At 39.5% G+C, this 25,997-nt stretch overlaps 1 pseudogene, besides 1 other annotated feature; it reads left to right on the top strand.

The window, feature by feature from the left end:
- Positions 15,689-20,016, top strand: CNTNAP3P8 (CNTNAP3 pseudogene 8; annotated as a pseudogene).
- Positions 23,448-23,989: an enhancer, noted in NCBI's record as "NANOG hESC enhancer chr9:44436970-44437511 (GRCh37/hg19 assembly coordinates)". NCBI's record gives its function as "activates a minimal SCP1, AML or CMV promoter by ChIP-STARR-seq in primed H9 embryonic stem cells {active_cell/tissue: H9 hESC(primed)}" and the evidence as "EXISTENCE:reporter gene assay evidence [ECO:0000049][PMID:30033119]".

The raw sequence follows: 25,997 nt of genomic DNA, 5'->3' as shown, positions 1-25,997 counted from the left end.
GCAAGCAATGAGAAGAGAGAAGAGAAGAGCTGTGGCTCTTCATGGAGCCCAGACCTAGGAACTCTGAGCCAGGGCTGTGACACCCTCTTTAGGGCTCTGTGGGTTCCTGGCATCTCCAAGGTTCTGGGCACCACCACATTTCCTGGTGTCAGCCGTGGAAGCTGCTTATGGTATGCCTGGTCTAACTGCAGCCTTGCATGGAGCTGGCACCCGTGCCAGTGCCTGAAGCTGCCTGTCCATCGCCTATCCCCCCTCAGCCGGCATGCCTGGCTGTGTGCAGTGGCTGGACCCCATGCTTGCTCACACACCCCTTGCTGCTCTGTGCCTGGCTCACCCTTGGCAGACATGCGATCCAGGCTCATAGTGGGAACTGAGCACAGCCTGCCAGGCTGAGTGGGTGGAACAAGACCAGAGATTCAGAGCAAAACTCGGGCAAAGGCGCCACTGGCCATAGAGGCTTTTGGCTGATGAAGTGATACCCCAAGGATCCCGTAACAATACCAGATGGAAATCTGGATCCACACAAAGAAATGGTCTACACCAGAAATAGTAACATCGTGTATCTATACCAGAAATAGTAACAACATGGATATATACTTTATATTATTTAAACTTCTCTAAAAGATAATTGTTTAGAAAATAAAGTAATATGCAGTTTATAATATATGTAAAAGTAAAATGGATGACAATAAGAGCTTAAAGACTAAAAGGGGAGAAGTTTACTATTCTCAGATTCTTAAACTGTACCTGATGTGATCTACTGTCACCTGAAGGTCGGCCGTGATCCGTTAAAGATGTACACTGTAAACCCTGGAGCCACGACTAAGATAACAAACCAAAAGATTATAGCTATTAAACTAACAAAGGAGATCAAATGGAATCATAAAAATATATTGGGTAAATCCAAAAGAAGACAGAAAAAGACGTAAAAGAGAATAAAGGACAGATGGGATGAGTAGAAAACAATAGCAAGATAAGAGACTCAACCATATTAGGAATTACATTACATTTAAATTGATTTAGAAGACAGGTTGTCAGATTGGATTTTTTTTAAAGTTGGTTGTATTTTGCTTGCAAGAAATGTACTTTATTTATTTACTTATTTTTGGAGATGGAGTTTTGTTCTTGTTGCCCAGGCTGGAGTGCAATGGAGTGGAACAGCGTGATCTCACTGCAACCTCTGCCTCCCAGGTTCAAGCGATTCTCCTGCCTCAGCCTCCCAAATAGCTAGGAATACAGGCCCCTGCCACCACACCCAGATAATTTTTGCATTTTTAGTAGAGACAGAGTTTCACCATCTTGGCCAGGCTGGTCTCAAACTCCTGAAATCAGGTGATCCACCTGCCTTGGCCTCCCAAAGTGCTGGGATTACAGGTGTGAGCTACAACACCTGGCCAAGAAATGTAGTTTAAATATAAAGATGCAAATAGGTTAGATGTAAAAGGATGGAAAAAGATATACCATGCCAAGACTAGTCAAAAGAAAGCTGAGGTGGCTATACGAATGCCAAAATAGACTTCAGAGCAAAGACTATTACCAGGGAATAAAGAGATTATTTCTTACTGATAATGTGGTTAGTTAACGAAGAAGACATAACAAACCTATGTGTTTTTGTACCTAACAACAAAGCTTCAAAACGTATGAAGAAAAGTAATAAAACAATACGTAGAGATAGAGATAACCATCAGAGATTTTAATCCCACTCTCAACACTTCATAGAATAAATAGGCAATAAATCAGCAAGAATGTATTAGACTTGAACAACACCATCAACTAACCTGACCTGATTTATATTTATAGAATACTCCACCCTATAAAAGCAAAATACACATTTTGTCAACTGTGCACGGAATATTTATGGAGATAGACCACATTATAGACCATTAAAAACCTCAATAAATTAAAAAGTATTCAACTACAAAATATGTTCTCAGGTCACAATGGAATAAAATTAAAAACCAGTAACAGAAAGATCCTTTAAAAATTGGAAATTAACTCACTTCTAAATAACTCATAGGTCAAAGAAGAAATCTAAAGGAATATTAGAAAGTTATTTGAAGTTACTGGAAATAGAAAAACAACATAGAATTTGTCGGTTGTCACTGAAGAAGTACCTGAAGGGAAATTTATGATATTACTATATTAGAAAAGAAGAAGGGTCTCATATCAGCAATCTCAGTTTCTAATTTAAGAATATCGCCCAGGCGCAGTGGCTCACGCCTGTAATCCTAACACTTGGGGAAGATCGAGGTGGACAGGCACCTGAGGTTGGGAGTTCGAGACCAGCCTACCGAACATGGTGAAACTCCGTCTCTACTAAAAATACAAAAATTAGTTGGGTATGGTGGCTGGCACCTGTAATCCCAGCTACTTGGGAGGCTGAGGCAGGAGAGTCACTTGAACCCAGGAGGTGGCGGTTGCAGTGAGCCGAGATTGTGCCACTGCACTCCAGCCTGGGCAACAGAGCAAGACTCTGTCTCAAAATATATATGAGGAAGAGCAAATTAAATCTAAAGTAACCAGCAGAAAAGGAATAATAAAGATCAAAATGGGAATCAGTGAAATAAAAAAAAAGGAAAAAAAATCAATGAATCCAAAAACGTGTTCTTTGGGAAAAATCAATGAAAACGACAAATCTCCAGCTGGATTGATTGGGAAAAAAGAGAAAATTATGAATATAAAAAGGGGATGACTGACATCACTAAAGACCTGGCAGAGGTAGTGCTCATCAGGATTCTCCACTGCAGTTTCTCTTTTCCCCCTCTTCCATACCGTCCTCTTTGGAGAATAAGTCACTGTGTGCAGCCCACACTTAAGGAGTGGGTAGTTATTCTCGCCCTCCTTTGGGATGGAATATATAACATAATTCATTTGAAATCCTGCATGTGAATTTATCTCCTTTCCCTCATTCATTAACTTATTTAATCATTTATTTATATCAGTATGCACTCAAGAATATTTATTTTATCTAATACTGCTCTATTTTGTTGCCCTTTACACACATGGAATCTTCCGTATTGCCACAGGTGCCATCAGATCTCCAGCATTTGCACATACTGTTTCCTCTCTGGGATTCCCACATGCCAGGCATTAGGTCAAGCTCCACGGGACTCCCTGAGATGGATCAGACATAGATCCCACCATGAATACCTCACAGTCCGGCTGGGAAGATGAGACAGGGACCTAACTATCTACAGAACAGAGTCACCAGCTTATAGGTACAAAGGAAGGGCATGGACAGCACAGGACACACCTGCCTACTGCCAGAGGTGTCAGGGGCAGCTTCTGAAGTTGGTGGGTCTCATGGGGCTCAGTGCAGAGGTGTGACCACAGAAAACAGAAAGGAGGCATTCCATGCAGAAGGAAGCTAGAGTGACAGGAGCACACAGTACAGAGGTAGGGAGCATGGTAGGGGACTAAAGACTCGGACCAGCCCCCCATTGGTACATTTTGTGCTAGGTGTCCACACTCAAACATCCTGCAGCTCAGCTCCAACGACTGAAAATTCTGCTAATGAGAATTTCTCTTCTGCGAGCTTTAGGCCTTGGCTGGTTGGACCAGTGGCTGCCTCTTATGTCCCCCACCAGTCGAAGCTCAGTTCCACAGGAAGAGCTTTGTGTTTTGCTCTAAGTAGCAAGGAATCCACTGGTGGGGAGTCCAACAGGGAGTGAGTGAAGGACTTACATTCCATGGGAGGCCTCTGGCTGTGGGCACAGAAGGGGCTCTGGGCTAAAGAAGGAAGCTGGGAACCCCTCAAGTAGCAGAAGGACATTGGGGTCATCCCTGAGAGAGGAGACCTAGTGAGAATGAAGTGATGGCCGGGTAAGGTGGGGTGGGAAGGGGAGGGACAGGAGCAGATAGGGAGAGGAGGGAGTAATAGGGGAAGGGAGATGAAGAGAAGGGCAAGGAGGGGAGGGAGTAGATAAGGGACAAGGAGGGAGGAAGAGGGAGGAGAGGAAGATGAGGAAGGGGGAGGGTGAAGATAGGGAAGGGGATGGCCCAGAGGTATTCATTTGAAAGCAGCCCCAGCAGGACTGATTGTAGCAGTGGCTGTCCAGTGAGAGAGAAAGGAAAGAATCAAGAACAAATTCTAGATTTTTGACTTGAGAAACTGGGAGAAGATGGGGACTTTTCCCAACTCAGTGCTTTTCACTGAGAGAAGAAAAGGAAGAGCCATATTTGAGTGTGAAAACAAGAGTCGCCTTTGAGATCTATTAAGTTTAATATGCTTCATTAGGAAGCTCCCTCATTTCCCCCGTAGCATCAACATTCTTTCTAAAACATTTGGAAAGCATTATGATTTTTATTGTAGAGTCCCCCCACCCCAGCGATTTTCTCTACTTTTTTCCTATTCATTGGTCATGGAAGTTGCTTCCAATTTTCAACTATTGTGAATAATGGGTTCTTTAAAGCATAGAACAGAGCTGGTTTGCAACGAACATTCTGTACACAGGTCTTTGTCAGTATCTCTGAATATTATATTCCTAAAAATTCCCAGAGGTACAATTTGTAGGTCAAAGGCTGTAAATATTTTACAGCTTCTTAATACATATTGCCAAATGATGCTGCAAAAAATGGCACCATGTACATTTTTCAAGAGAAGCATCAAAGGATCTCACTGGTCCTCGCCACCTGGACTATTGTAATGGTCCTGAATTATTGCTAATTAGATGTGCAGAAAATACTATTTTATGTTCATATCTGGATAAAGTACCCATGAGGGTTTTGACTAATGTATAGAGGAGAAGAATCCTTTTTGAGGATTTAGATGTGATTTTACTGAGTTGCAGATGTCTTCTTCCCCACAGTACCTTGGGGGACTGAATACAGGTGTGGAGGCCACCCAGCTTGTATCTGTGTTTACTGTCCTTCTCTGATTGGAAGCCTCCCCGTCTTATTCCATTAGACTTTGCTACTGTTCTCCCACTTAGCTGACCTGTCACCTCTTGCCTGAGAGTCTCAGGGTTAGTAATGGATTTCATGACTGTACACTTTAGTAATGAAGAACTCCATTATCACTGGAAGGGGAGTGATCCTTCTGTGGTGTCTGAGCCAAGACAGGACAACATGGAAGCCCAGCACGTCAAGGTCCAGGAGCGTGTTCAGTGGCTGGGCCTGGGGGCAGGAGGAAGAGAAGAGACAGATGCATTGGACAGCCCCCCCACATCCTGCCCCCACCATGATTACTCATCCTTCTTTGTAGTTACATTACTTCATTGTATTACCTGGAAATAACCTGTCTCCTTGGTTGATGGTCTATTCTTTGAGAGACAGCTTTAGAGGCCGGCAGACCTAAATTCTAATCCTTCTGCCTGATGTTGGGCAAGTCATTTGTGGCTTTGGAGCCTCAGTTCCTAATCCGAAGTGAATCTCACAGTGGCCACCTCCCAGGGATGCTGTGCTAGATGAACTGCCTGAGTTGGGTAGCTGGGCCAGGCTCTAGGTCACTGTGAGATGCTGCAGCTGTGGCTGTACCCTGTTAGTGCTGGGTCTGGAATCCCAGCCTCCAACACAGCTGTGATTAAAGAATGCCTGGAAGGAGCAATGCACGAGGAAGGAGAAGGATGAGAATTTCGAGGTTAGCATCAGATGACTGGGGACTTGGCTTTCCTCTGGCTACTTCCCAGCTACTTGGGGTTCTGACACCTCTGGCCGGCCACACAAGCACCCTGAACATTCACCATCTCCCGGAACTCAGTAGCCTGATGGCCCAGGATGACTGAGTGCCGGCAGATCTGGCAGGAACAGCTTGTGAATGGCATGGGTGGCCAGGGTCTCTGCCTGATAAAGAGAATGTTCTTCCCTCAGGAAAGCGGCCCAGGTGTCCTGGAGCAAAGGACTATACTGGAATAGGTTGGTGCCTGCAGCCTAGAGCTTGGACAGTTTCAGCAGCCAAATGAACCCTGGGGTTCCCAGTATTTGGGAAGAGGTTAAGGTATGTGGGAAGAGGCCAAAAACATAAGGAACCTCCCCGTGGCGTCAGGGTCCTGCTCCACACAGACAGAATCTGAGACGCCCTCCCCGGGGCACCTGGTTCTTCTCCAGTCCTTTGTCACCTCCCAAGCGGGTCTCAGAAAAGGCAGGTCTGAGGATGCGGACGGACGCAGGACCTAGCCCAGGCTGGTGGAGCCCCCTCCACGTCCTCTGAGTACAGCTGCCGGTCGCCACCTCTGAGGCAGAACTTGAGGAAAATGGGGTCAAATGGAAGGTACTGGTATGGGGACACACGCGGGGAGGCCTCCAAACACCCTTTCAAGATGGTTCGTGTTGACCCCGATAGGTCTCGTGTTGGAGGGGCAGGCACTGGGGGTTGCTGGTCGACCCGCATGTTGCCCCACCACAGAGCATCCAGGGCTAAGAGCCTCCTCCGAGCTTAAGCTGCAGGTCCAAGCTTCCACGAACAGATGGGGAGCGAATGCTTTGCCAGCGGGCGGAACAATCCTGCTAACGCTAGGGACATCCTGGAACTCGACCCGGTGCACAGTGGCCACTTCTCTCTCGCGGGAGCTCCAGAGAACAAGTGCAATAGGTAACATCGACCGCCAGGTGGAGCCCGACAACCGGAGCAAAGGGCTGCAGTCCATGTCGGATCGCATTTCTCAGACCTGGGTGGGTGGAGCGCGTCTGGCTCCTCTTGGAGCTCCAGGTCACCACGACGCATCCCCAGCAGCATAAGGGAAGGCTGACTGCTGGGAAGAATACAGACTCTCCCTACGTGACTCCCAGTCTGGCCCGTGGAAAAGCTAACCGCGAGCCTGCGGGCCGGGCGCCCTGCCAGGCCGGGCTTTCCAGAGCCGCGCAAGCGGACTTAGAAAATACCGCGCCCTCAGGTATGGGATGAAAAACTGCAACCATGAAAGCTTTGTTGAAAACACTTTAATTCTAAAATTTCTGAACAGAGAAGATCTTTAAAGCATAGAACAGAGCCCGTCACGGTTGTTCACGCCTGTAATCCTAGCGACTTGGGAGGCTGAGGCGAGAGGATCGCTTGAGGCTAGCAGTTTGAGACCAGCCTGGGCAACATAAATAGACCGCTGTCTCTTAAAATAAAAATAAAAAGGCATGTATACAACAAAGACAACTCGAAAGCCATCAAGGACACGATTGATTAACTTGATAGCATAAAGTTTAAAGAAAATTTATCTGTGCACGTACCAGGACAAAGTCAAATGACAACAAATGGGTGTGGGGAACATCGGTGCAAATACATGTATGATGTTAAGAATACTGATTTCACCATTACTTGTAATAACAAAAAATAAAGAAAACATAGCCATTCAGAGGAGCCAGGTTTAAAAAATTCTGGTACATCTATACAATACCGTTAATTTACGTTTTGGTTTATTTCTTCAGGGCGGTAGACTTACATGTAGTAACATGGAAAAATGTCCATGATGAAATAGTAAATGAAAATAGCAAATTCATGAGAATGCAAATTAGAATCATAGTGTGATACCATGAATGCCTTAGACAAAATAGTCTTCAAAAGTGAAGGAGAAATAAATACTTTTTTTTTTCTTTCTGAGATGGAGACTCACTCTGTCACCCAGGCTGGGGTGCAGAGTGCAATGGCGTGATCTTGGCTCACTGCAACCTCCGCCTCCCAGGTTCAAGTGATTCTTCTGCCTCAGCCTCCCGAGTAGCTGGGATTACAGGCACACACCACCACGCCCAGCTAATTTTTGTATTTTTAGTAGAGGTGGGTTTTCACCATGTTGGCCAGGCCGGTCTTGAACTGCTGACCTCAAGTGATCCACCTGCCTTGGCCTCCCAAAGTGCTGGGATTACAGCTGTGAGCTACCGTGCCTGGCAGAGACTTTTGTAGAAAACAAAAATTGAGGCAATTTGTTGCTGGTAGACCTGCATGCAAGAAATGTTGGAATAAGTTAAAAGAAGTTCTTAAGAGAAAAGTAAGACATTTGGATCTACATAAAGGAAGAATATAAAAAATGAATATATGAATGTGAAGTAAAAACTTTGCATTTTCTTATTTTCAACTGATATAGCAGCTAATAAATAATTTGTTCAAAATAATGATAGCAATAGTTATTAGATGTTTATAATTTATTGATAAGTGAAACGAATAATAGCAATGATATAAACTATAGGAGGGAAGAGTTAGAAATATTTTGTTATTATAAAATACTTGCACTACTCATAAAGCAATACAGTATTACTTGAAAGTAGACTTGTACTAATGGTAAATGTACATTGCAAAATCTAGGGCAACCAATAGAAAGGTTTTTTAACAGTAAAAAGAAAGGAAGAATTTACATGCTTAAACGGGAGAGAAAATGGAACCATATAAAATGCTCAATTAAAACCACAAAAGGCAGGAAAAGAGTGGAAGGCAAAAATAGGAAGAAAAAAGCAGGACAACAAATAGAGAATAATAACAGACATGATAAATACCAACCTAACTGCATCTGTAATCATCTTTAATGTCAATGGTCTACATACACCAATTAAAGAATGAGTTCATCTGAGTTGATCCCCCACAAAAAAGACCCAACTATACATTGTTTACAAGAAACTCACTTTAAATGCAAAGACATATAGATTTGAAGTAGGAAATGGAAAAAGATATACAAGGTTAACAATAATTAAAATAAAGCTGAAACAGCTATATTAGTTTTCAGACAGAGTAGACTTCAGAGAGAAAAGATAATTCTGGATGAATATAGGCACTGCTTGATAACGAAAAGTGAATTATCTGAGAAAATATAACAATTCTTAATGTGTGTGCACCTAACAAGAGTGTTAAAATACGTGAGGCAAAAAACTGATAGAACTGCAAGGATAAATAAAAGAATTCACAATCATAGTTGTAAACATCAACACCCTCTATCAGAAATGGAGAGATCCAATAGATAGAAAATCAATAAAATATGGTAGAACTAAACAGCATCATCAAAGAACTGGAAATAATTAACATCTATAGTCTACTTAGTGTAATGACAGCAGAATACATATTCTTTTCACTCTCACATGGAGCATTCACCAAGATAGGCCACATTCTGGGCCATAAAGCCCACCTTAACACATTTCAAAGTATAAAAACCATGCTATACCTGCTCTCCGAAAACACTGGAACCTATTATACAAACCAGTAATAGAATGATAGCTGGGCAATCTCAAAATACTTGGATATTCAGAAATATACATCTAAATAACATAAGGGTCAAGAAGAAATCTCAACAGAAATTAAAATAATTCTTTGAACTACATGAAAACAAAAGTACCACTAATGGCTCCAAGAGTTTCTCACTTCCCCTATGGGAATGTCTGTATTTCCTACAGAGATCAGTCAAAGCTGCACAGGGAGCCTCCAGGAAGGGTCTCTGACATGGCTACAGTTTTGCGTGGGGCACAGTTGCATACAGCACTCCCGAAAACGTTTCTCTTTCCCAATTAGCTAGCTGAGACATTCCCTAACTAGTCATGGAGGCCAGGAAGGGCATCCCTTCCACCTGGTGGACTGAGTGGGGATTGGTCATAGGAGGCACCCTGCAAAATTGTATCTAAACCCCTCTCTGGAGGCCAGGACAAATCTGAATGGACCATGGAACTGGGGAGAGCCTGGATGGGAGCCAGTGGTCAGGAAGGCCTTGGGGGCTGCTCAGATGGGGCCAGGTATGAAGGCCTGAGAAGGGTACCTTGTTGCATGGGTCTGGTTGGCCCAATGAGTCTCCAGAAAGTTTCTTAAGACCCGTGGTTGGGGGGAGGACTGCATCTGGCTATAAAGTGAAGGCCCCAGGGATGGTTTTGGTGCCCTACTTTCCACTCCAGTCCAAAGCAGTGCCTGTCATCAGAGGCACCAGAAAATATGTTCTAAGTACTCCCTGTTTGTGGGCACCAGGTAAGGATGCCCAGTAAGGCCTGGGAAGGGCTTGTGAATCCAGTCACAGTTCTTCCTGGCCTTGTCGATGGCATGCAAATTCTTTGAATGTTTGCAAGTCCCTCTCTGGAGGAGCAGCAAAGGCCTGAGTGGCTGAGGAGGCCTATTATTTTTGTTTATATTATTTTATATGAAATTATTACTTATGTTATTTTTGTTATTATAAAAAGATGTAAAGTGTGACATCAAAAACATCAAACATGGGAGAAAAGGAAGTTAGAGTGAAAAGTTTGTGTATGCAATCAAAATTAACTGTTATCAGCTTAAATTAACCTGTTATAACATGTTTTATGTAAGCCACAGGGTAGTCGTAAAGCAAAAGCCTGTAATGGATACACAAAAGATAAAAGGAAAAGAACCAAAACATACTACTACAGAGAGCCATGAAGCCACAAAAGAAGAAAGCTAAAGAGGAAAAAAGGACCAAAGGCTCTACAAAGCAACTAGAAAACACTTTAACAATGGCAAGAGTAAGTTCATACGTGTCAATAATAACCTAGAATGTAAATGGATTAAATTCTGCAGTTAAAAGATACATAGTGGCTAAATGAGGTATTTTTTTAAAGACCCAGCTGTATGCTGCCTACAAAAGACTCACCTCACCCGTAAGGACACATGAAGATATTCCATGCAAATGGAAAGCAAAAGAAAGCAGGAGTAGTTGTAGTTTTATCAGATAAAATAGACTTCACATTAGAAATCCTAAAAAGAGACAAAGGAGGTTATTATATAATGATAAAAGCATCAATTCAGCAAGAAGGTATAACAATTATGAGTATATACCCACCCAACACCAGAGCAAATATTAGATCTAAAGGGAGAGACAGACTGCATTTCAATAATAGGAGACTTCAACACCCTACTTTCAGCACTGAACAGATCATCCAAAGAGAAAATCAGCAAAGGAACATTGGACTTAAACTACACTCTAGAGCAAATAAACCTAACTTTTACAGAAAATGTCATTCAAAAGCTGGAGAATGTGTATATATTCTTCTCATGAGCACATGGAGCATTCTTCAGCATAGACCATACGTTAGGCCACAAAACAAGTCTCAACACATTTTTAAAAATTAAAATCAGATCAAGTATCTTTTTTGACCACAATGGAATAAAACTAGAAATCAGTAACAAGAGGAACTTTGGAAAATGCACCAATACAACATGCTCCTGAACAACCAATGGGCAAATAACGAAATTAAAAATAAAATTTAAGAATTTCTTAAAACAAATAAAAATAGAAACACAACATACCAAAATTTACGTTATATGTCAAAAGCAGTAGCAGTACTAAGAGGGGTAGTTTATAGAAATAAATGCCTATATAAAAAGGTAGAAAGATTTCAAATATAATGATGCACCTCATGAAACTAGAAAAGCAAGAATAAATCAAGCCCAAAATTACAGGAAGAAGAAATACTAAAGATCACAACAAAAATAAATAAAATTGAGACTAAAAATATGAAAGATCAACTAAATGAAAATATTGTTTTGAAAAGGTAGACAAAATCAACAAATCTTTAGGTAGACTAATGAAAAGAAAAACTCAATGGAATAGAATCAGAGATAAAAAGGAGACATTATAACTGATAAAACAGAAATACAAAAGATCATTACAGACCATTATGAACAACTTACATCAACAAATTGAAAACTTATAAAATAGATATATTCTTGGACACATATAACCTACCAAGATTGAACCATGAAGAAACAGGAAACCTGAATAGAACAATAATGAATAATGTAATTGAATCAGTAATAAAAAGTCTAACAAAGAAAAGTCTAGGACCATATGGCTTTACAGATGAATCCTACCTAATTTTTAAAGATAAGCTAATGCCAATTATTCTCAAACTATTTTGAAAAATCAAAGGGGAGAGAATGCTTCCAAATCTTTTTTAAGGCCAGCATTACCCTGATACCAAAACCAGACAAGGACACAACAAAAGAAAACTATAGGCCAATATTTTTAATGAGCATAAATGCAAAACTCTTTAAAAAAAAAACCCTAGAAAACAAAATCCAACAGCACAGAAAAAAGATTATACACCATGATCAGGTGGTATTTTCCCCCAGGGATGCAAGGATGCTTCAACCTACAAATATCAATAAATGTGATACATCACATACATCACATCAAGAGAAAAAAGAACAAAACCTTGTGATTATCTCAATAGACACAGAAGTAGTGTTTGATAAAATTCAACTCCTCTTTGTGATTAAAAAAAACCCTCTCAACAAATTAGGTATAGAAGGAACATACCTTAAAACATTAATGTTAGTATATGATAAACCCACAGTTAACATCGTACTGAATAGGGAAAAGTTGAAAGCCTTTTCTCTAACATAGAACAAGACAAAGATATTCACTTTCCCTAAGATCCTTCCTCTAAGATCTAGAACAAGACAAGGATATTTACTTTCACCACTTTTATTGAAAAGTGGTCAATCACATCGTTTTCTTTTATTGAAAAGTGGTGAAAGAGTCCTACACAGAGCTATTAAAAAAGAAATAAAGGGCATTGGAAAAGAGGAAGTCAAATTGTCACTGTTTGCAAATGACATGATCTTATATTTAGGATAAGCTATAAAGACTTCACCAAAAAGCTGTTACAACTGGTTAACTATTTCAGCAAAGTGGCAGAATACAAAATCAACATACAAAAACCAGTAGCGTTTCTATATGCCAATAGTGAACAATCTGAAAATCAAGGAAGCAATCCCATTCACCTTAGCTACACAAATATAAAATGCCTAGGAATAAATTTAACCAAAGAGGTAAAAGATCTGTACAATAAAAACTTTAAAACACTGATAAAAGAAATTGAAGAGGACACAAAAAATAAAAAAACTCATATTCATGAATTAGAAAAATTAATATTGTTAAAATGTCCATGCTACCCAATGTTAACTATAGACTCAAGACAATTCCTATCAAGTGGCATTCTTCACAGATATAGAAAAAGCAAGCCTAAAATTCATGTGAAATCACAAAAAAGCCTGAATATACAAAGCAACCCTGAACAAAAAGAACAAAGCTGGAGACATCACACTATCTGACTTCAAAATATACTACAAAGCTGCAGTGATAAAAAATAAAAAGCATGTTTATGGCATAAAAACAGACATATACACCAAAGGAATGAAATAGAGAACACAGAAACAAATCCATGTATTTATAGCCAACTGATTTTCATCAAAGGCCCTAAGAACATACACTGGGGAAAGAACAGTATCTTTAATAAATGGTGCTGGGAAAACTGAGTAACCATATGCAGAAGAGTGGAACTTGACCCTGATCTCTCACCATATACAAAAATCAACTCAAAATGGATTACAGAGTTAAATGTAAGCCTCAAAACTGTGAACCTACTAGAACAAAACTTAGGTAAAATCCTTCAGGACATTGGTCCGAGCAAAGATTTATTGAGTAAGACCTCAAAAGCACAGGAAACCACAGCAAAAATTGACAAATGGGATTACATCGAGTGAAAAAGCTTCTGCACAGGAAAGGAAAAAATCAACAACGTGAAGAGACAACCTACAGAATGGGAGAAAATATTTGCAAAGTATTCATCTGATAAGGGATTAATAATCAGAATACACCATGATGCTCAAACAACTCAATAGCAAAAAAAAAAAAAACAACAACAACAACAAATAACCTGATTTTGAAATGGATAAAAGATCTGAATAGACATATTTCTCAAAAGAAGAAAATCAAATGGCCAATACATAAATGAAAAAATGCTCAACATGATTGATGATCACAGAAATGCAAATCAAAATCACAATGAGATATCCTTGCACCCCAGTTAAAGTGGCTATTATCAAAAAGACAGAAAATGACAAATGATAAGGAGGATGTGGAGAAAGGGAAATGCTCATACACTGCTGGTAGGAATGTAAATTCGTACAGCTACTGGAAATCTCCACACTGGAAAACAGTGTGGAGATTTGTCAATAAAACTAACCATAGACCTACCATATGATCCAGCAATCCCACTAGTTGGTATATGGCCAAAAGATAAGAACTCAGTGTATCAGAGAGATATCTTCATTCCCATGTTTATTGCAGCAGCACTATTCACAATAGCCAAAATATGGAATCAACCTAAGTATCCATCAGTGAATGAATGGGTAAAGGAAATGTGGTATATATACACAATGGAATATTATTCAGCCAGAAGAAAGAATGAAATTTTGTCATTTGTAGCAACATAGATGGAATTGGAGGACATTAAGTTGAGTGAAATAAGCCAGGTACAGAAAGACAAATATCATGCTCTTACTCATATGTGTGGGCTAAAAAAATGGGAGGTAGTGAACAGAATGGTGTTTAGCAAAAACTGGGAAGGGTAGTGGGAGGAGGGCATGAAAAGGGGTTGGTTAATGGATATAAAAATACAGTTAGATAGATAGAAGGAGTAAGATCTAGTGTTTAGTACCACAATAGGGCAACTATAGTTAACAGTAATTTATTTTGTATTTCACAACTTTCTCAACACAAGGAAACAATAAATGTTTGAGGTAATGAATATCCCAGTTACCCATATCTGATCATTACACACTGTATGCTTGTATCAAAATATCACAGGTACTCTATAAATATGTACAACTATTATGTTTTCATAAAAATTAAAAATAAAAACTAAACTATTAATTGTTCTACTTTGTGGACATAAAATATCTTTCCATTTATTTGTGTTTTCTTCCATTTTCTTTCATCAGTGTTTTATAGTTTTCAGTATACAGTTCTTTCACCTCCTTGGTTAAATTTACACCTAAGTATTTTATAAGTTTTTTGTTGCTATTGTAATTGGATTGCATTCTTTTTTTTTTCTGCCTCCCAGGTTCAAGCGATTCTCCTGCTTCAGGCTCCCGAGTAGCTGGGATTACAGGCACCCGCCATCATGCCCGGCTAATTTTTTTTGTATTTTTTAGTAGAGACAGGGTTTCACCATGTTGGTCAGGCTGGTCACTCTAACTCCTGACCTCAGGTGATCTGCCCACCTAGGCCTCCCAAAGTGCTGGGATTACAGGCGTGAGCCGCTGCGTCCAGCCGGGATTGTATTCTTAATTTCCATTTTGAATAACTCACTATCAGTTTATAGAAATGGTAAATCACCCTTTGTGGATAAAGCATGGGTACTCAGCAATTAGGAGTAAACCCTTCAGCTAATGTCTAAGTTGCTTTCATTGTTACTTTATCTGTTTGATTTCTTGTCTAAAGTTTGATAATGGCAACTAACCCATTTTTAAGAGAAATTAAAATGGATAACATGCATGTGATATTCTGTGAAAATTGCATGACTTCTTTTAATTAATTTAAGGAAACTATAGATGTGTAGTTAGGGCTTTAAACCAAACTGGTACAATTTATTTTCTGCTAAATTACAAAGTTATTTGATTGAATTGACAAGTAATATTGCTTTGTTTTATTTTTAATTCGTTACTGTGCAAATTCACATTTGGAGAATGTAAGATTATATACAAAACCTTGAACCACCTTTAAATAACTATATTTTTATTTATTAAGCCACAAACAGTTTAGTTATGTTGTTATGAGCAAATATATTTACTATTTTTTCTCTGCAATAGGAATAGAGATTTCTTTTGCTCTTCTATCTCAACTGAAAAGGATATATTTTCTGGATCACTGCCATTGGCTCCTTCTATAGTATTTAAAAAATATATGCATATCATAGTGTTAGGCTTCTATAAATACACTACTAACTTCTCTTCACTATAAATGAACTTGAGCAACTCTCATATCTACAATTTCTAGCACCAGGAAAGTGACATTTTCCTTTGAGATGGGGAATAGGCCTTTTGAGGTCATGGTGGAGTCATATACTCCCTTTTATGACAATTATTAGCACCACGTGAGGGCAGAGAGGAATGTAAAAAAAGTATCATTTCAAGTTAATAAGCTACAACCTGCCACCACTGATGGCATGTCCACTTACAGCTCACGAGCCAGCTCTTCATCAATAAGTGCTGCTTTGCAGTGGTTTGTAATTGAATTGTATGATGTAAATGTGGAGACAGCCAATCATGATGTTACAGGATCTTTGGGGTGTCGATTTTCTTGCCCAGAAACCTCTGTGGACAGTGGCATCTTTGCCTGAGTTCTTGTCCTGCATCCAGGAAGAATGAGGTATGCAAAGGAAGGGCGAAGAAGATTAAGAGGAGTTTTATTTAGTGTTAGAACAGCTCAGAGAAGACCCACAGTGGGTAGCTCCTCTCTGCAGGCAGGTCGTCCGGTGGAGTGTTCAGCTTTCAGCAGAGAGGAGGCCCTGGCGAGCCTGGCTGCTCTCCGCAGGCTGGTCATTTGGAGGTCTCTGCAGGTCTCTGAAGCTCTCAGTAGAGGGGAGAGTTCGTCTCTGCAGCTGGTCATCCCATCGTCTCTCTGTCCTCTGCCCTCTCTGGTAGAGCCCAGGGCTTTTATGGACCTCAGAGGGGAGGAAGTACCTGCCAATTGGTCCATGAGCAGCCATTGGCGGCCCAGAGGAGGGACAGATCCCCAGTCCTGTCCACAGGATTGGCAGTCTGGCTCCCAGCCTTCAGGCCCTCCCTGGCTTGAAGGTGGGGCTTTACTGGGGACCCATCCGCTTCTGCCCAGGACTCTCCCTCCCCCTGCCATTCAAGGCCCCAGGGCTCGACCAACCCTGTTGGGAGATTAAAGCTGGTGACAGAAGAGGAGAGAGGCCAGGCAGTGAGAGCAGACATCCCAGAGCCAGTTGGGGGTGGCAGGTGCAGGCTGCCAAGATGCCAGGGTCCTGCGCCTGAGACGGTGGCCTCAGTTGCACCCAGGGAGCTCCCACCCAGCCAACTCAGAAGGGGCGGGGCTTCTGCTTGTCCCGGTCTCCTGCCTGCTCCATGGAGCCGGAAGCCCAGGTCTGCAGCAGTGGGTTGGGTGGCTGCAGCTGCACCCAGGAGGGCAGATCCTGTCGGTTCCCAGCCCCCTCCAAGAGCACAGGGAAGCTTGGATCCACAGCTGCAGTTTGGGGTGGGCTACAGCCTGCTCCGTAGAGCAGGAGGCCTGGGTCTGCAGCCGCACCAGGGAACTCACCCCAACTCAGAAGGGGTGGGGCTCCCACCAGCTTCATGGAGTATGCAGACCCAGCCATACCTCCCTGCTGTAGCCTGCATGATGGCAGCAGCTGCTGCCATCAATGAGAGAAAAAAAGACAAAATTTACCAATATCAGTAATGAGAGAGGTGATCTCACTACATACATTACATATATTAAAAGGCATAATAAGAGATTACAATGCAAAGCTGTATGCCAGTATGTTTGACAGCTTAGAAGAAAAGACAAATTCCTTGAAAGATGTAAACTACTAACACTGACTCAAGAAGAAATAGATGACATGAATAGTCTATTAATTAGATTGAGTTTATAGTTAAAAACCTTCCCACAAAAAAAATTCCAGGCCCAGATGGCTTCGCTGGAGTTTTCTAGCAAACATTTAAGGAAGAAATAACAAATAAACATAAACTCATTCAGAAGATTGAAGAGGAGAGAATACTTTTGAACTCATTCTATAAGTCCAGCATTATTCTGACACCACATTCAGACAGACATTTTTTTTTTTCTTTTTTGAGATGGAGTCTCGCTCTGTCACCCAGGCTGGAGTGCAGTGATGCAATCTTGGCTCACTGCAAGCTCCGCCTCCCGGGTTCAAGTGATTCTCCTGCCTCAGCCTCCCGAGTAGGTGGGATTACAGGTGCCCACCAGCATTCCCGGCTAATTTTTTGTATTTTTAGTAGAGACAGGGTTTCATCATGTTGGCCAGGCTGGTCTTGACCTCCTGACCTCGTGATCCACCCACGTTGACCTCCCAAAGTGCTGGGATTATGGGCGTGAGCCACCATGCCCAGCCTAGACAGACATTTTAAAAAAATAAAAATACAGTCCTTCATGACCACAGATGCAAAAAAACTTAACAAAGTTTCAAAAAATTGACTTATACCAGTAATTCAAGTTTAGTTTACCATAATAAAATCAACCAAAGCAATTTGGCATAAAGACAAACATTCTGCAAAACAATTTGGCAGTTTCTTAAATGTTAAACAGATACCTACCATATGACATAGCTATTCTTGTCTAGGTATTTACCCAAGAGAAATGAAAGGATATTTTCATATGACCATCTGTGCATAAATGGTCATAGTAGCTTATTTATAACGGATGAAAACTGGACACAATTCAAATGCCCATCTTCAAATGAATGAACACACAAACTGAGCTATATTCACACAACGAGATACTACTCAGCAATAAAAAGGAATGAACTATTGATACATATCACACATTAATGAATTTCAAAATAATTCTGTTGAAAGAAAAAGCCAGATAAAGAAAAGTAAATACTATGTGGTTCCATTTATATGACATTCTGGAAAATAGAAACTAATCATGAGAGAGATCAGATCTGTGGTTGCCAGGGATTTGGGGGAAGCAGGGAGGTTATGGGGGAGGGGTTATCAAGAGGGAGGAGAATATTTTGCTGGGGTGATGGATATATTCCTTATTTTAATTGTGATGATAGTTTCATGGTTGTATACATAAGTAAAAATTTAACAAGTCCTGCACTTTAAGCATGTGTATTCATTATATGCCAATAAAGCCTCAATATGGCTGTTAAACAAAAATTAACTACCGAACTACTAAATATGTGTATCACCCTAGGAAATGAAAGACATCTCTTCAACTGCTTTTGTGTCTTGACTTTTTTCCCAAAGGAAGACCTATATTTTGCTTCATTTCTTTCTACTCTACATTTCTTTTTACTCTGCTTGCATTTAGTTTAAAAAAAAAGCTCTCTGTTGGTGATTTCTAATCTGTTTTAAGGTAAATAATTGTACTGTCCAATTAGAGACTGAGATAACTCATGAATTATCACACAGGTTGTTCTCCTGTACAATATATATGATTTTGAGTACTAATATTACACAGTGAATTCAGAATTGTGTGTTTGTATATACATACCATAGTCTTATAAATAACTTCAACTTGCAATAATTAACTTGCAGTTAATTCTTACAGTAGCATGAGTTTGGGCCTCTTAAAAAAAGAACTAAAACCAACTCCCTGCCTGAGAATAGAAACAACACACACACACACACATACACACACACACACACACACACACAGACCAAATTGAATAATCTTGTTTTCTCACTTACAGTTGTGGGCATTCATTTATGGAGTTCTTGGCAGCTATGTTAGCATAAAACCCCACCTATAATTATCATTCATATTAGGATAATATCTCACAAATGTGGTCAGTATTGTCTTCTGCAACATTACAGTTAGTTGGTGGAATAAGTTCTAGTGTTGTACAGCACTATAGGGTAACCACAGTAAACAACAGTGTGTTGTCTTTTTTTTCAGATAGCTGGGAGAGAGGATTTTTCATGTTACCAACACAAAGAAATGATAAAGGTTTGAGGTGATGGACATGCTAATTACCCTGATTTGGTCATTATACATTGTATACATATACTGAAATATCCCACTGTACCCCATAAATATGTACAATTATTATGTGTCAAGTAAAATATGAATATATATAGTAAATAAATAAATGAAGTAATTTGCCATTACTTAACATTTCATTAAATGTATGTTTCCAAAATTATATTTGTTCTTGAGACCTTTTGAGTGATCACAGTTTCTGCTATTCTCCATAAGGCCTCAGTTTGACCCAGTGATGAAATCTTGAATAAAACACAGAGGAATGTGTTTGTATTTGTAATGCTTCCCTTGCAGGTGAAATGGCCACCAGACCCAGGCTTTCTGGAATGCATTCATTTTCTGCAGTTGAAGGGACGATCCCGGATCTGAAAGAAAGAGCCACAGTGACTCCAAGAGTGGAGCCAGGGCATGCTGGACACTGCATAGCTATGGCCACGTGTGTCACCTCCGAGGGAGATGTGAGAGAAACACAGAGGGATCGCTTGTGACTGTGCCTTCTCGATGTATGATGGACTGTTCTGCTCAAATAGTAAGTGTGAACAAGGAGCCGGTGAACATAGGAAACAAAGAATATTTCATTTGACATTATAAGGAATGAGACAATTCTAGTCACTTGAAAGTGAACTATATCTGTCGAGAATTCCTAGTTTTAATTGCGAAGAAATGTGCTTCTCTTTTTGAAAAGCCACAGGTTATTGCTTTTATATCTAATATCAGTCCTCTCTGGATCTCTCAAAGGATTTTGTGTATATCCTACCATTTTCCTTCTGTTGCTGCAGTTTGGAAGTAGTTTGTTATCAGGATTATCAAAGCATCATTGCTATTTATGACAATGACTAAGAAATGCAAGAATATTTGGAACACTGTAGAAAAAATATTTTAGCCTGGAAGGCAAATACTAATTTCAGGAACTATTGATCTGTTATAAAACAGGACCACTCAGACATTTAGCTCTAGGACTTTGGCATATCTGTTGTTGGAGGCGTATAGTGGGGGGCATGACTCAGCTTCTGCTTAAGTACAAGTTGTCTGCAGCGAAGGAAGAATTTGATTGTAGTATCAACAGAACCAGACAGAACTCTTTGAATATAATTATATATCTTGGAAACTGACTCATCAAAGCTATTAGATTACATAGCATCATTTAAGCATCGTTGGGCTCTGTACTTTTCATTATCTGTACTTTTCATTATGGAGTATAATAGGCTTTATTTGGTACAGAAATTGGGTCTAAGATGGAAACAACTTGTGATTTTTGAATAAACTTTTGGGGATTAGTTACTTTGATGTTGTCAAGATAGCAGCATAGTAAGTCCTCTGCCTTTCCTTTTGATTTATTTATAATTTAGAATCAGTTTATGATTTTAAAAAATGTGACAGACACAGTGGCATGCACCAGTAGTACCAGCCACATGGGAAACTGAGGCAGAAGGATCACTTGATCCCAGAAGATAGAGACCACCCTGGGCAACATAGTGAGAGCCCCATCTCAAAAAAAAAAAAATCAATTCCCAATACCATTCCAGAACACTTTTAATATAACCAGATGAAATTGTGATCACTTCTTTACTGTAACGTTTAAAATGGTCCTCAGTCCATATTTAAGTACAATCTTAGTGTTTCTGTGCAACCTAATATATTAGAAAGAAAAACTGTATTGCATTTGAATAGGAAATAACTCTGAATTGCGGGTTATTTCGTTTAACAGTTGCAATTAGATTGGTTAGTGACAATTATCTGTAATTTTCAGGCAATGCCTAGGCAAGTGCCCAAGACACAGTAGCCTCCTCCTTGCCTCCGTATGTGTGTGTGTGTGTGTGTGTGTGTGTGTGTGTGTATGTGTGTGTGGAGGGTGGTAACATTTCTGGGAATTTGTCTTAACATAAAATGATACCACCTTTCACAAAACGACCTAGAGGAAGTTGGAAATCTCACTATCCTGGCTTCCTGCTGAGCAATATCTGCTTCTCTTTCTGACTCAGGCTGATGCATCTGTATACTTAGCTTCACTTCTCCAGTAAATAAGGGAGAGCTTTATTATAAAAGACAACTTCTATTGATTTTCAAGGGGGTGGGTGGTTGTCAAGCTCACTCCTTTCTATGCACTGAGGGAAAATTATTGTAAGCGATCTGTAAAACAATAGATGAAAAAAGAGGAGATAAAAATTAAATAAAATTTAAATAAAAACTAGGATCCTAAGTGGGAAAATAGCTTTAAATTAGAAATTGATACCAAAAAATAATGATATGTAATCTAAGATGAAAATATTTTGAAGACTATCAGCATATCTCCCTTAAATGTTATTTAGTTCTGAAAAATATGTATTGAAGAACTGTTATATTTTACTTTATGTCTTATATTAAATGTGCTAAAATTAAAAAGAAACAAGTAGATAAAAGTAAAGATTGTATTATTATTTTATCACCCAGGTTATTTCAAGACTGGAGACATTCTTTAAATAAACCTAAATTATGACTCCTTGCACTTAAGTTTTGCTAACATAAAAAGTATGTATGATTTCGGAGATTTCTGCATATTTTGGAATGAGCTCTTCAGTTGCTTGTAATTTCCAAGAAGATTACCCATTTTACCCCTTAACTAAAACCCCTGTTCCCTTACTTCCTTGCTGCTTCACTTCATGGGGATATGTCACTGACCAGAGGAACGATCACATTGAATTTCTGAGCCACACTGTTTTGTATGGCTAGAATAAGATGCTCAAAGTATGATTTCACAAATCACATGGTTATTGCCATGCAAGGAGAATTTGTTTTCTTAAGTTCACAATGCTCGAAAAGGAGAAGAATAATGTGAACAAATCTACAGGGAATACACTCAAAAGATGAGGCACATTAACCACAGAGGGAGTGAGTTCCAAATATTAAAGTCTAGTTCCTGAAGTAGAAATGGAAGCAGACCTCTGTGGAAAGGCAAATCGAATGAAAGTTTGAGGTGCACCTTTTTTTCAAGCGAATTCTCTGGAGAGATGGTGTCTGACACCATGGAGATCCTCAAAGACACCTAGGGTCCCTTGACACCAAGTGGGTGGTGCCAGTGATGCAGGCGAGGCTTCATAGCTCAGCGGCTGACAGGGTGGGGCGCTGTTGCTGCATGAGTTCAGCCTTCCAAGAAGTGACTGGCAGGGCAGCCCTGTCACAGAATATGCTCTCCATTTTTGGAGAAGTGGCTGAGACTTACTGAAGTTCTCAAAGTGTTCAACGAACTCTTATGTTTATATGTATTTTGAAATCCAGTGGTTGAGGTCAGTAACTCACATATGATGGGTCTGATGAGCTCTGACATTGCATTCTTTCCCCGCCACGCCCCCCCCACCCCCCGCCCCAGACGGTTTCTTGCTCTGTCACCCAGGCTGGAGTGCAGTGGTGTGATCTCAGCTCACTGCAACCTCTGCCTCCTGGGTTCAAGTGATTCTGCTGCCTCAGCCTCCTGAGTAGCTGGGATTACAGGCGCACGCCACCACACCCGGCTAATTTTGTATTTTCAGTAGAGACGGGGTCTACCATGTTGGCCAGGATGGTCTCAAACTGCCTGCTCTCAAACTCCTGACCTCATGATCCTCCGTCCTCGGCCACCCAAAGTGCTGGGATTACAGGCAGAAGCCACCGCGCCCGGCAGACACTGCATTCTTGAGGGGTGGAGAGAGTACAGTCTAAGTTCTTGTTACAGCAAAACATAGCAAACTATGTAAGCCTTTGGAATAATTCCAAAACTACATAACAGACATGAGCTCCAAGCTTACTGATTTATCTGTGTGCCTTCTCTGAGGAATATCTTTTGGTTATCCTTGTGCAACATGGCAAATATTTTTCAAAGTGAATGAGAGTTAATGAGAAAATTAAATTATAAAAATATTATGGCAATGAGGTGGATCATGGCAGTGTTCAAGCTACACATAAAAAAATGACATGCCCTCCAACTTTCATTCTCTTATTTTTCAGTAATATTCAAAATATTTATTGCAAAAGTTACCATTTCAATGATGAAATTAAGATGCCTTTCAGTTCAAGTTTGGCAGTTTTACATATTTGATGTGAAACTCTGATTCGAAATGTTGCTGGGGGTCTTTAGTATTGCATATGAATAATAAAAATCAAATTTGCTATTTATATTGAAATAAGATATACAGTATTTTATATGGCAAATGTTTCTCTTCCTTTTAAGAGAAGAAGAGAAATATTAAGGTGGTTATTACTCAAGTGAATCCTACTTAAAAGTAACTTTCTAATAGTTGAGAAGTCACTTATGCATACCTACATGAGGAAGAAAGTTGAATTGACTGTCATTCATTCAGCCCAGTGGGACATCAAACTCTCCAAACCTTTCACAGTAGGAAAACAAAGCCAGGCCTCCTTAACTATGCTACATGGCAAGTCAAAACATGAACATAATATCTGAAAAAGCCTGAAAAACATCTCTGGCTAACTAGATCTCATTGCAGGCAGTGAGAGAGTGGTGGCAAATGTGAACATGTCTGTGTGGGGTGGTGGCAGGGGAATTGGAATGTACGAATCCAAGGAAAACTGACTCTTGGCAAATTACTTGTTTTGGTGCTCCTCTTCATTTTTTTTATTATGGTAGAAGACTTTGTATACAAATTTCTCACTGTACATAAAACAAGTTCTTCAGTTATTGCATTTCTGCAATATATTAAAATACATGAGAAAATCACATTAAAAAGAGGCATGATTATAGAAACAAAATGTTATTACAATACGATATCAACTTATAATTCATAATTATATTTGTAAATATCAAATTATAAGTAATTTATGAGAAATTAGAGCCAAAGCTTTTCATACTTACTTTAGTGTTTTTCTAAAGGAAATACATGGTGAAAGAACTGTAGAGAAGACATAGCTTATGATTAATCCATTTGTCTTGATACTTAACACAGTATTGGTGGTGCATTGGTTCCAGGACTCCCTGGGGATACCAAAACCCATGGATGCTTGAGTTCCTTATGTAAATGATGAAGTATTTGCATGTAACCCACACTTACACTCTCTCTTTAAATAATCTCTAGATTACTTATAATTCCCAGTGCAATGTAAACACTATATAAATCGTTGTTTTACATACTGTTTTAAAATTTGTGTTATTTTTAATTTTTGAAGATACTTTATCCATGATTGGATGAATCCATGGATGCAAAACCTATGGATAGGAAGGGCTGACTGTAACTGAGCTCAGAGATTCTGGAAAAGCACTTAAGTAATCAATATTCCAGGAAAGGGGACTTAAAATGTATCCTTGACTCTACATGAGAAGTTTTAAATACAGTTTTTTTTTTCCTTTTTAGGGAGTTTGCAGGTCAGATACAGGCTAGACTGACATCAAGATTCTGATTCCTTTTACTTTGATTTAAAAAACTTAGCTGATAGCAGTTTCACCATTTTAGAATGAACATGAAAGAAGCAATTGTAGAGGTAACGCATTAATTAAAATTATGACTTTCTAGCATCAATGACTTTACATAAACATTTGATAATAAATGACTGGGAAAAAATGCCCAACCAATGATATACATACATATATATATATGTATGTATAAGTAAGAAGTGAAGTCAAATATAATTACAGCGTTTTGTTTGGTTTTGCTTTTGTTCTTTGCTTTGCTTTTGTTTAACAATGAGAATCTATCCAAGCTATTATTAACATTTGATTACTTAGATGCCAAGTTTTGCTTTTAGTTCATAAGGAAACATAGTCGATTTTATCACTGGATACTACTGGTAGAAACTTTGAATTGATATTTCGGTGAAAACCTATTTTCATTGAATTGTCAAACCACAAATGCTATATATAATAGCAATTTAGAACAAGAAAAACAACCTGATTTTGATTAAAATGAGGATACATAATGAAAAGTCACCACAAAATAAACTTTACTCTGTTACTGGCTTTTGAAGAAAATCATTTAGATATTAAATCTATAGATAGAACATTTCTCTGCCTCATGTAATATTTTATTCTTAGTTAAAAGTTTTGAGGTATAAAGTAATGCATTGTATTTCTTTGTAGATCCTCCCAGTTATAGATATCCTATGAAGCAAAGTAAATTGGGAAAGGAGATAACAGGTGGAGTGGCAGCTTTTGGCATTCTATAAGTTGGTTAAAAATATTTTCCTCTTAGTATATAAATCTTGGAATTGATCTCTTAATCTTTTTGGTAGCACTAACAGGTGGTTTATTTTATGATTTTTTTCCCTTGGTTTTCCTTTGCTTCCTGTCTTTTTATCACAAAGTTACTCTTCATTTGAATGCTTCTATTGGAACAAATTGCTAGGTTAACAGAATGCAAGGAGACAAGTCATCCTGTCAGGTACAGAATTCATTCAGTGCTGTCAAATTTCTTGTATTGGGGAAAATTTTAGGTAGGTGGAAGAAAAACCTTTCCCTTCACATAACAGATCAAAAGTGTCATGTCACAAGCATGAGAACCATTTGTCATGCTGAAAGAAACTTCTTTTCTTAAGTTTATGAATAATTACATCATGAGTGACAATCAAGATAAAAACTGTACTTTTATCTAAGTGCACATGTAATCATGAGTAAAGTGCTTCCTGAAAGACGAGCAAGAATATTGC

This window comes from Homo sapiens, chromosome 9 (assembly GCF_000001405.40).
Source record: "Homo sapiens chromosome 9, GRCh38.p14 Primary Assembly".
Lineage (NCBI taxonomy): Eukaryota > Metazoa > Chordata > Mammalia > Primates > Hominidae > Homo > Homo sapiens.
This window is presented reverse-complemented; position numbering and strand designations above follow the sequence as displayed.